General features: G+C 34.3%; 2 annotated features.

Moving 5' to 3' along the window:
- Positions 12,119–12,263: an enhancer, noted in NCBI's record as "145 bp 9:12581404 sequence used in MPRA reporter constructs". NCBI's record gives its function as "activates a minimal TATA-containing promoter with rs11788283 allelic activity by MPRAs in UACC903 melanoma cells {active_cell/tissue: UACC903}" and the evidence as "EXISTENCE:reporter gene assay evidence [ECO:0000049][PMID:36423637]".
- Position 12,191: a transcriptional cis regulatory region, noted in NCBI's record as "rs11788283 or 9:12581404 MPRA-significant variant associated with a GWAS melanoma risk locus at 9p23". NCBI's record gives its function as "allelic transcriptional activity by MPRAs in UACC903 melanoma cells {active_cell/tissue: UACC903}" and the evidence as "EXISTENCE:reporter gene assay evidence [ECO:0000049][PMID:36423637]".

Raw genomic sequence — 12,730 nt, 5'->3', positions numbered from 1 at the left:
CAACAAATACAAATAGAAAGCATATGATTCTTTTAATATTTTTACTCAGCACTTCAATAATAATAAGGGCTTGAGCAAAACAAACAACACAATACCTTAGGAAAATGTAAAGAGGATGAGACTTCCATAGCTTAAGTAATTGTGGTACAACAATTCATTTTAAGTCATTTGAGATAACTCTTAAAACCAATCATCTCATTCTCTCAGAAGATTCCTATCTTACTACTCTCTATTCTATACGAGAATCACATTTAAACCCATGCCTTCATGTGTTACACATTTTCCACAAGATGAAGGTAGCCTAGGTCTGGCAAGGAGGAGAGTCATGGATGCTGGCTGACTTTGGAAACAACAAGGAGGGTAAGTTTCTCAAGGGAAAGAGAATAAATGGATTATTATAGGAGGGTTTTAAGAGGAATGATGTGTTCCCAAACTGCTGGAGGTGATACCAGAACTGTGCAGAATGAACTGATAAGAAAAATAATTATAACACTCCACAAAGACAATAATGAAGGTAGAACAAGGTAACTAATATTCTCATGAGAGTGGGTTTACCTGATATCTAATGTTGGAATAGGGGGATTAAAAGCGAGTGTTAAATTTAATAAAATTACACTAATTATACTCGAAGTAAGTAAGTCATAAATCAATTAATTTTTAAGAATTTTTTTCAGCATTAAACCAAATAGCATATATTTAAAGTGGAAGATACTTTTCTTTTAAAATACTCTAAATGTAATCCAACCTCAACACAAATATTTTATAGTTACACTAAGTGCACATTTATTTTCTTCTCTTTTAAATTATGGATTTCTTATATTTCTCCTGGGGATAAAATTCTAGAGAACCCAAAACCTAAAATTGAGGAAAAAAAGGAAAGTGAAGTGTTCCACACAATTAAGTGGGTTGTTTTGGAAATCATCTTAGGGTAAGATAGAAGAAGCTGGGGAAGTAGTATGCCTAGTCTTTGAAATTGCCTTTGGTGTGTGTTTAGGTCAGGAGGTAGAGTCATATGTAAGAAGGGTGCTGTAAGTTAATCAATGTTCTGATGGCAAAATGGATAAAGGTAAAGATTTAGGGCACCTAATCTCAGATTGCAGCTCTACCACTTACTATCCATATGCCTTTGGGCTACTTTCTTAACCTCTTGAAACCTCAGTTTACTGATCCTTCAACATGAGAACACAGAAAGAATGCTGTTATTTATTAAAATTATGAAGAATTGAGATCCTGATGTAAAACACTTAACATGGTTTCTACCAAAAGCTTATGAAAACTTGTTATGGTGGTGTGTTTGCTGTAATACAGTCACAGTGGACAGGGTTAAGCTTTTATTTAAACTTTTAATTTAGATATTACTTTTTCTAGATACTTGGACTAGCTTGAATTCCTCCTACATTTTTGTTAAGTGCAAACCATTTTGTTGCTGGAATAACACTAGCAACTAAAGCAATTCTTTTTTTATTCAAGTGATATCCATCAACTGTTCTATAAATGTCTGTTCTTCAGAATAATACATTTTGTTTCTCTTTCACTTGCTACAAAAATCTTGTATTTTTGAAGATTGATCTTTCTTCTTTAGTTTTCCTTCTATTATCCAAAATGAGCAAATTTCTTTAATCATTTATCTAGATATATACAATCCAATATAGTAGTCACTAATTACATATGGCTATACAGTATTTGACATGTGGCTAATTCTATTTGAGTTGTTCTCATAGATACACTACATTCCATTTGGGTTGTCCTACATTGTAACATACACACTCCATTTCAGACTTAGTATGAAAAACAGAATGTAACACATTGAAATAATATTTTAGATATATTGAGTTAAATAAAATATATTATTAAAATTAATTCTACCTCTTTCGTTGTACTTTTTTAATGATGCTACTGGAATGTTTACAGTTACATCTGCTCCTTGTATTTGCAGCTTGCTTATATTTCTATTTGACATCACTGCTTTAGAGAGAACAGTAGTGAAATGGGAGTGGGTGAAGGAAGAGTTTATCAAAAGAGAGAAACAGTTATGTGGATTTTAAAAAACTAAATGGGTTGCATTTTTTAGACAAATACTGTTGATTTGGTATTTATTTGTAACAGTTTCTTGCATGACACAAACTTGAACTCATACATTGTATAACATATATGTTCATGAATTAATATAAAACATACATTAAACTAGGGTCATATGGTCTTAAGCGAAGCTTATTTTTGTTGCTGCTCACCCTCCTGCCCACCTTTCCCTGGGAGCAGTGAAACTCTGTCAGTTGGCTGTCATGCTTGCTTAAAAGCTAGAAACTTAAAAAAGTTAATCCTTACACTTGAAAACTACTTTTGAAGATAAAATATCACTTCAGATTTCTCCAACTGAATGCCTATTTTGTGAGGCTGAAGTTATAAGTAAATTATAGTAACAGAAAAAAGTGTCCCTTTTCATTAATTTCTGAAGACAAACTAGATATTTCAAAGAAGAAATTATCTGAAAACCTAGAGAGATTCACCGTAATCTTATTAGTTCTCTTCTAGACAGAACTGTACCATATGGATGAAAAGTATTTCACAGAAATTAAAGGGAGGAAGTCCACCGTATAGCACTGTTAAATGCATTTACTTTAATTTAGTTTAGTTCTGATTTTTATAAGGCTATAAACTACACATGACCAATGTTTGGTAAGTTATGGTCCCAGCATAGTTCCCTAAAGTGTAACATAGTCTTCAGCTCAGCATTTATATTTGCTTGATTTTATTGTGGAGCTCTAAAATTTCTTTCAGCCTAAACTTCCTAAGTAAATTTATTCTGTCTGTGCTTCTTGAAAGCATAAATAACTACAGTTTAAAAGTTATTTAGAGTATTTTATTCTGAATATCCAAAAGAAATTTGTTGGATAAACTTTGAATAGATGAACATTTGTTAAAGTATCAACTTATTGCATTAATCTAGGAATTTTAAAGAGTTTTTAAATTTTAAACAGAAAATATATTAGTGAAGATAGCTTACATCAAATTTTCTCCGTCTTGACAATGGTTATATTTTGGTCCAGATAATTCTGAACTCTGGGGCTGCCCTGTGCCTTGTAGCATTGCTGACCTCTACTGAATGCCGGTAGCACCGCTGCCCCCAGTTGTGACAGCCAAAAATGTTTACAGACAGTGTCAAGTGCTTTCTGGGAAGCAAATTTGTCCTTGGTTGAGAACTACTGGTCTGGATTTTGCTATGATCAGAAGCAACACACCAAATCTCAAAGACCTTACACAACAAAAGTATATTTCTCATTCCCAATCCCTGTTGGATGCGAAAACTCTTGACCAATGGTATTCACTCAGGCATCAGTGCTGACAAAAACTTTGCCTTTACAGGTTTTTACATAAACTAGGTAAGAAAAGGGAGCTGGTGAATGGCTCCCTGGCCCCAACATAAAATTTTCTCAAAATTGACCTTTTGCTTACATTTCCTGGATCAAAACAAAATATCTAGGCATGTCTAAAGTCAAAGAGGCATGCAGGTGTGGTCATCCTATGTATCAGGAAGAGGGAGAAAAGGGATATCTGTCAATAGGTCTAGTGGCCACCCCAAGGAGTTTAAGGAAGATGAAGAAGGAGGAAATCTAAAGAGAGTATGGAGATTTGGAAAAGACAACGATGAAAGAAGAAGGGTAATTTTTGGAGGAATAAAATGTGATTGAGGTAGAATGACCAGTTTATGGATAATGGCTTATGGCAACCCTTTCAGAAATATAAAGCAGGTGGTTAGATAATAATTCAAAAGCCTGTGGGTAGGAGAGTGAGCATTCCAAAGTCTTGTTTCCAAATGTGTTTGAATATCTGCGTACTTTTAATCTATTTGGACTATATATATCCAGATTAATTCCAATAACAGTTAAGATTATTGAATGCTGACTAAGTGATAGTTATTATAAGTTATGGGCTTTTTGTGTGTTATCTGTTTTAAATCCTCACAACCCTATATCATTAATATATTATTTTACTTCTTACGTATAAGGAAACCAAAGACAAGGTAAGCAATTTGGTGTGGTGAAACTACTTGTATGTGAAAATTTGGGTCTCAAACCCAGATCTCTCTGATTCCAAAGTGCATGGCTTAAACAATTACAATATATAACCCAATGTAAATATTACCCTACTTATAGCATCAATTGTAAGAAGCACAATTTTCTCCCATTGTAATATCTCACATATCTGGAGGCATGCTATAATTAACGCTGTTCCATAATTTAACTGGCTACTTTTCTCGTCCCAGTTGTACAAGAGATGTTAGGTTTTACAATCAATGGCATTTTAAATTCAATACATCTTTTAGGAAAATGTCATCCATTAAGGAAGAGGCAAAGCTTGTCCATGTTAAAAAACAAAAACAAACAACAACAACAACAACAACAACAAAAATTAGCATCTAATCTGAAACTTTAGAGAAATACTTCCAGGTTTTTGTTCACTCAAATAGCTGTCAATCAAGGCCAGAGATCAAAAGGTTCCATTTCCTTAGGGGGTCCTCAGTCTAATTTTCAGATTCATCTACATCTGTAATACAGCCTTTTCCAAAAGCAGAAACACTCTGCCACCATGACCACCATGTGTTGGGACAAGAGGAGGTATACAAAGGAAGAGTATGGCTCAAATGTAAATGTTTCTATTTAAAATGATACTTTTGTAAAAATAAGATTTGCAGCTGAATAGTATTTACTTTTTTGCAGGGCCATTCAGCACACATTCTTTCTTCCTTTAGTGAGAGTACCCAGCTAATCCAGTAGTACCCAGTTAATTATTTTTCTCCCACTGTGGCTTCAATGTTTGTGCTTTGAGTAAAGCTGATTCCATCTCCATCTATCAGTAAGACATGCCAGCTAGACCTAAAAGATACTTAATGCATTCCAATCTACTGGCTAAATCCATGCCGATTAGACCATTCAGAATTTACCTCCTGATGCAGTGGCTCACGTCTGTAATCCCAGCAGTTTGGGAGGCTGAGGTGGGAGAACTGCTTAAGCTTAAGAGTTCAACACCAGCCTGGGGAAGATAGCAAGACTCCGTCTCTACAAGAAGTTTAAAAATTAGCTGAGCATGGTGATGTGCACCTGTAGTCCCAGGTATTGGGGAGGCTGACGCGGGAGGGTTCCTTGAGCCCAGGAGTCTGAAGCAGCAATGAGCTATGATTGCACCACTGCACTCCAGCCTGGGCAGCAAAGCCAGACTCTGTCTCTAAAAGATAAAAAATAATTTAAAAGTATTTGCCATAGGGCTTTGCTTAAGTAGAAAATATTTGAACAACACAAGATGTAAAATTTAGAGGTAAATTTTACCTCTCAAGATGCAAACATCTTGCTACTTATCTGAGAAGAAAGCCATCTAAAAGTTCACAAAGATAAGAGATAGAGGAACCAAGTCCTGGGGAAATCTGTTGATGTCCTGTCACAGATCACATCTGAAGCCAGCCTGTTCTCTGAGGTTTTTAGTTATGTGAGTACATTATCCTTTATCTATCTATCTATCTATCTATCTATCTATCTATCTATCTATCTATCTATCTATCTATTTTATTTTATGAGACGGAGTCTCGCTCTGTAGCCCAGGCTGGAGTGCAGTGGCGTGATCTCCGCTCACTGCAAGCTCCGCCTCCCGGGTTCACGCCATTCTCCTGCCTCAGCCTCCCGAGTAGCTGGGACTACAGGCGCCCGCCAATACGCCCGGCTAATTTTTTGTATTTTTTAGTAGAGACGGGGTTTCACTGTGTCAGCCAGGATGGTCTCGATCTCCTGACCTCATGATCCCCTCGCCTCGTCCTCCCAGAGCGCTGGGATTACAGGCGTGAGCCACTGCGCCCGGCCTACATTATCCTTTATTATAAGCCAGTTTAGGTTGTATTTTCTGTCACTGGCAATCAAAGATGTTGTAAGTGACACAACCACTACTGGCTATATTTATAAAAATGGTTTTGGCCAGGCACGGAGGCTCACACCTGTAATCTCAACACTTTCAGAGGCCAACGTGGGTGAATTAATTGCTTGAGCCCTGGAGTTCAAGGCTGCACTGAGCTATGCTTGCGCTACTGCACTCCAGCTTGGGTGACAGCGAGACCCTGTGTCCAAAAAAGTAAAATAAAATAAGAAAGCTTTCTAAGAGGATGCATACCTATAAAAAACTGAACAGAGAAATACATAACTGGTTTGCAAAGTAGGATGAAACTCCTCCCAATCACTAAAACAATTAGGAGCAAATAATGTTATGCATATTGAGAGATAATTATCTTAGTTCAAAAATCTTATTAAATTTTTTTACTCGAAAAAAATTTATATTTTCAATATTTAGAAGAAAATAATCACTTCTCAGTTCAGACCAAAAAGAAAAATCATTGACAAGTCTCTGTGGTCAGAGGTGACTAGGTAATTTTCAGGGCATTAACATTTAAGGATAGAATAACTGTTATCATGTTCACTGTAAAGACAAAATTTAAAATAAGAGGTAAATACAAATAATAAACATTTGAAACATGATTTTGTTTGATAGCAAATTAAAATGAATGAATGCAGTTGAAGTTATGTAATAGTTATACACATTTCCTGGAAAGCTGATGCAAATGGGTGTGTCTACAGAGGGAGAAAAGAGGGAGAGAGAGAAACAAACAAAAAAGAGAGAGATGGAGCCCAGTAGTGAATATTTTAACCAAAATGGAGATTTGGAGGGTCTTTATGGCACAGTCCTCATTGAAGATAGTTTTTCTCCATTTCTAGTCTTTCTGCCATTCTCTTCAGATTCCTTGAGACCACGACAGGCTACATTGTCTTTCTATATTTGCTAATCCAGCCTATGTTAGGTTTCAATGAAATTTACAATTCCCTTCTCAATGTTAGAGTGTTTCTACCTTCTACCTAATTGCCTACTGATTTTTTTCTTTACTTCATCAATAATTATCTTACAGATACTATGAAGTTTTGTACGACTAGAATTTTAACACACAGAGTGATGGTTCCTTGTGGCAGATATAACTTCTCTTCTGCACAACTCTTGTCAGGTATTAGAAATCAAAACTGTTGGAGAGTACAAAATAAGTGACAGAAAGTAAGGCCACTGTGGTGTAAAAATACACATTGTAGAACATGCTCACATCACCTTGGGTGATGAACTGCTCATTGGCTGAGAATGTTTGTAGATGGTACATGAAAGCTCCTTGGTAGAAAATTTACAGCACTACACTATCTGCCACGCTAGCTTTGGCAGTCATTAAATGAGGGAGTATGCTAGTCCCTAAAACTTGTGGAAAACATTCACAAGATACACACACATACAAATATCTTAGGAAACTAGTCAGAGCATTGTATTGAATCAACGATGAGCAAAGTAATATTAAATGAAATATGTATATATGCAAAAAACTCATAAGTTGAAATTTTCAAAAATATGGATTAATCAAGATACTTGGATCTCTTTTACATTTCTAATTTTCAAAAATGCATATTAGTGAAAATACTTAGATCTTAGTCTTTTATTTTGTACCTACAGTTGCTCATAATCTTGCGTGAAGACTGATATGTGTGATTTCAGTAACTGTAATTATACTGGCATCAATATGCTTCTAAGGAGATTGTAGACATCAAGGGCAGATTTTTATGTAGTTCAACGACATTTTTTTCCTTATTTATTTGGTATGCAGGCTAAGCTGAAGAAATTGGTCTAGGATACATATTTTGAGGGTGTTGAGTTTTAAAATTGCTCAGTAAGGCATGTATATTAAATATGAACTTTCGTCAAAATATGCTATAGCAGTTACACAGCAAAAATAGTATATAAAGTTTGAAGATTCGCTTTTATTAATTGCTCTCAATTTCTCTGGAAATGTCTGGTTGCTTTAGAAAGATGATCTTGTGTAATCTTTTTAATAGCTCTGTTAGCTAAATATCATTGTTCACATTATAAAGATGACGTAGTTGATGCTCCAAGAAGGTGAGTTTATAGCAATTTGAATATTGTCAAGAAAGTCTGTCTGTCTTCAAAACCTATTATTCTTCTAGCTCTATCATGCTGCTGATAAACATATAGTTATTAACTTTCCTTCACAAGACTCTACAGAGATGCTAGAAGAGAAATTTGTTGAAACTTGACAAGAAGGAAGGAACTTGAAAAAGAAAAATTGTTTTCTTTTAAAATAAGATTCTAATATCCAATTCCCTGTAGCCCCAAGGACTGATGATCTGTACTAAGTTATTACGTACCCTAGCAGTTCTAATATGCCTGCTTCAGCCTCACTAGAAACAGATGGGTTGATCAATTCCATTTGTAATTACATCTGGGAAAAGGGATTATAGAGACAAATATACTCAACTGTTTTGTTCCCATGAGTACAACATGAAATTAATCACTGGACCAATCTTCCCCCTGCTACAGTGGTACTGATTAAGGTGAATCTTTTGCTAAGTCTGGCACATACTAGTCCTAACACAGAAGTATTTAGAAGAACAAAATGAAAGTGTTTATTTCAAAAACCTATTTGATCTCTTAATGCAAGGATTACCAATGATGACTGTAAGCTCTTGGTTATAGTGATTAAGTATAAAATTGCCTGGCCTATACCATTCAGTCATTTCTGCATTTTAAATAAAATTCTGTTCAATGTTGAACACTATCCAGTAATTTAGAAGCACACTAATATTTAGATTTATAATGGCCATCTCTCCACCTTCTTACAATTCATAATGCTGATTTGTTCTTATATATCGAGTTCTACAGAGGGCTGCTGCTATGACAAATATAACTGAGAATGACTCCTAAGAGATTGATGCAATCAGTTGCTTACTTCACATTAAATTTAATAGAATATTGAATGTCGCTCAAACATTTAACACTTTGATGAAATATATACTGTATATTATTTCAGTTACTTTGTATAGATAGGCTATAAACAAGATAAAATACTTTTCATAAAATGTCCAAAAGGGTTCATTTCCTTCTTGTCATCACTCTTCAGAGTCAGTGTTTGCAAGGCACGTGTTTTAGAACACCAATTTGTGGGATGTTAGTAGTTGCTTATCATGCATGAAAGGTCCTATAGAGAAACATATTTTTGAGAGACACACACTTCAAAATATTAAAGATTTTCATAGGTATTTTTATAGGCAAATAAGAGTTAGAATTCTTCTGAAGAAAGGCAAGCTTCATCAAAAGGTTAGAAATAAAATTCAACAAATTTTATTTTACTGCAGAATTTATTTTCAGAGGATGTTCCAAATTGGTGTTCCAAATTGTTGTACAGTTTGGAAAGCACTTCCCTGAATATAGTACAGTCTCTCCAACACATTGTCTTACAGGCTCTGACTTGAAAATATCTGGATGATGAGTAAGTATAAAATATTCTAAATATAAATTAGTCTCAGGCAAACATGCTAAACAAGTCTATTAGAAAGAGGTATATGGATTGCTTATATCTTCATATTACATGATAGTGTTAGCAGATAATCTAATTTGCTACTAACAAATGCAAACAATTATTAAATAAATACCCATAATATTCCAGACAACATGCATGACAACTTGTAAAAATGTTACATTCTTTATCAGATTAAAAGGTAATACATGTTCACTGAGGAAAATTAAGAAAAAAGAAAAATAAAGACAAGAATCTTACTTAATGTAATAATTGATTCTTAGATTTTTTTTAAACTTTAAAAATGCATGTTGGCACACAAGTCAAGGATCTGAAAAATGATTGGAATTTATCTTCAAGGTTAGATATTGACATTTGGTTTATGTCATTCACAGCTAATCAGCCATAATGCAAGTGTACTATATGGATCAATCAATAGGGTGAGTTGATTGGGTCACAGATTGTACATTTTGTCTTTGTTTCAAAGTTTAGGTAATATAATACACCTTTTTGTTTTTCTAAATATTATTAAAAAATATTTAAATGGAATAATGTTTGCAAAAGACCTCTCAATATTCTTTATAAAATCCTTCACAGATTATACTCTTATAGCAAAAAAAAAAAAAAATCAAAACTGTATATGAAAATGTATTTTTTCCCCTGCTGTATATTCTTTCAAACAATGATTAAGGTAACAAGCACCCTTTAGCTAAGGTTTCAATCACTTTATCTACAATGGATTTTTTGTTCTCAGTGTTTTTCTGAGCAGCGTTAACAATGGCTCTAATAACCCAATTCTAAATAAGAGAACTATGCTGTACTAAGATGGTGACCTTTGAGTTGCTTTATTCCTCCTTAAGTGTTGTGAAGAACGGTTAATGTGTTCTTTTCTTGCATTTCATTTTGGTCTCAAAATTTCATGATGAATATTTTGTCAAGTTGTTTCCATTTTAAGAACTCTAACATTAAAAAGTAAATTTTGTACAACTGCAATGAAAGAAATGGTGTGCTAACTATCATTTTCCTTCTGAAGTCCTTATTGTATGTTGTGGTCATAAACCCATCTTTATTATTTTAAACATAAAGGGCCAACTGGGACTAACTATTTTCAAAACTATTCCTCCCCAGTAATTATGATTTATCTGTTGTCTACTGCTTTATAGGTTTTTCATTTTGTCTATTTTGGTCCATACATGAGATCTTTCAGGATTCAAACATTTTTAGTTGCCCATCTTGACATCATTGCCAACATTGTTTCTCATTTATTGACGAAAATACCAGTCCAAAGTAAGATTAAGCCATCTTCCAACATTGTATTAGAATGACAGTCTCCTTTATCTTGGCATTATGTGCATGTAATTAGCCAGCATAAAGGGCATATCCAGTTGTGAACTGGCCTAAATAGTTCAGGATGATAATTTGTGTAGTAGTTTCATTAGTAGGTTATTTCTAATGTAATCAGCTACATTGCCACAGGGTGAACGTATTGAACAAAACTATTCTTGCTGTTTAATCCACATGATTACTGTAGATGGAGGAGGTGGGAGGAGATTCATTTAGAACACCAGAATGAATTTTAACAAACTTCAATTTGTTTACTGGCTAGCTCAAAATCATTCACTATGGTTTTAGAATATGTCTCTAATGTGAGTTGCAGGGATATACTATTTCCACCAAATATGTACAGCTGTAGTAAGGGCAAAATGTAGAGGTTTCTGGGTTGAATGAGTTAGAGATGAGTAAGACTCCAAAGCTGGGAGTAGTGCAACTTCCAGTACTTTCAGATTTATGAATGTTGGGTTTTCCATTCCTTGAACCAAGGCACAGAAAAGAATGGCATGGTGGAATGATTCCAAAAGAGTTACAAACTTTATAGTAAGAAAGAGTGCTGATTCTTGATAATGCCTGCATGACTTTTATGGTTTCCAAAATTTTCAGTTTAATCTATTGTGTCAGCACCAACTATCAGTTGCTTCATGTCCAGTTAGCAAGCCCAAGGGGAATGCTTACAGATGTGCTAATTTGCTAAGATATCAGCTTCACAACACAAATAGCAATACTCTAGAAAATGTAATCAACTGTAGTTGTTTCTGTACTCAATTCAATTACTTTTCGTAAAATAAAATTTTCATTGCAGTGAATCAATGGCAACTGAAATCACCGTTTACATTCACATTCAAAGTCAGCCATCCCTTCTTCTAGAGTCCAGGTCTATATGAATGATTTATTCGCCTTCCCAGCAGCCTCAGTTTCAAACTTTCTAATGGCTACATTATTTCCCCACATTTGTGCATCAGGTTGCTTGTTGTGGTAGGCTTTTCCGACTTGAGAGCTATTCGGTGACTCTAAAAGTGAACTGGGACTTTTGCTTTCATAATTTTGCATTGGATTTAATGCTGTTTTTTATGAACCTGTGTTTGGTGCTAAAGTTGTTGAAAGAAGTTTGTATGCTCTTTGTAGCTTTTAATATAGATAATTAAATCTATTGTATCCTACTTAACAAGCTGCTTTGATGTCCCCTCACTAACCTACATGTACAAAACATCACCTCAGAAACAGTGGCTGGAGTTCATCTATGCTCTCCCTCCCTGCCTCTTTCTCACTCCAAGGGATAGTTTATCCAAATACATATTTATTTGAATTATGAGACTTTTTCCTAGATAAAATTGCACTAATCTATACTTCTAGAGGTCACTTTTTACGTTCTGAAATCTTGTGATGCCCTTGATTAAATATATTGCACTGCCGGTTGTTTATCATCTAATTTTCTACCTATTACAGCTCCTAGAAAATTGTACTTTGCCATATTAGTATAAGGATGTGCTTTTGTATTTTAATATAGCCTTAGAAAGTATCTTTTTGTCTCTTTACTTGTCAATTTTTGTTTTAGATTCTTAAAGTGCTTTAGCAAGTCAAACGCATTAACAACTGTCCATGGTGGGTTAACTTCCACTGTAAATATCCTGGCAATCCAATTGTTGGTGTCTTCAGAATCACTTAGTTTCTAAGGAGAACTGAAACTGTTAAAAAAAACAACAACAAAAAAGGAATGTTCACAACCTTTTACCTCTAGCATTTCACTTACTCTACTTGTATAGGGAAGAGGAAGAAAAAGAATTTTAAAGAAATAGACTTCTGTTCTTGTTAGACACTTGATGTATATTTTCTTATAACATTATCATGATAATCTTAAAAAGAAAATATCTTTTATAATCTCCACTACCTAGAAGAGTCAATGAACCATGAAAAGAAAATTAAGAAAATGATCACATTTATAATACCATCAAAAATAAAAAATTATTAGTAGTAAAGCTAACCCAGAATGTGAAAGATTTGTACATTGAAAACTAC

The sequence above is a fragment of the Homo sapiens genome, chromosome 9 (assembly GCF_000001405.40).
Source record: "Homo sapiens chromosome 9, GRCh38.p14 Primary Assembly".
NCBI classification, from domain to species: domain Eukaryota; kingdom Metazoa; phylum Chordata; class Mammalia; order Primates; family Hominidae; genus Homo; species Homo sapiens.
Note: the sequence above shows the minus strand (reverse complement) of the source record. Positions and strands in the feature narration are given on the sequence as shown.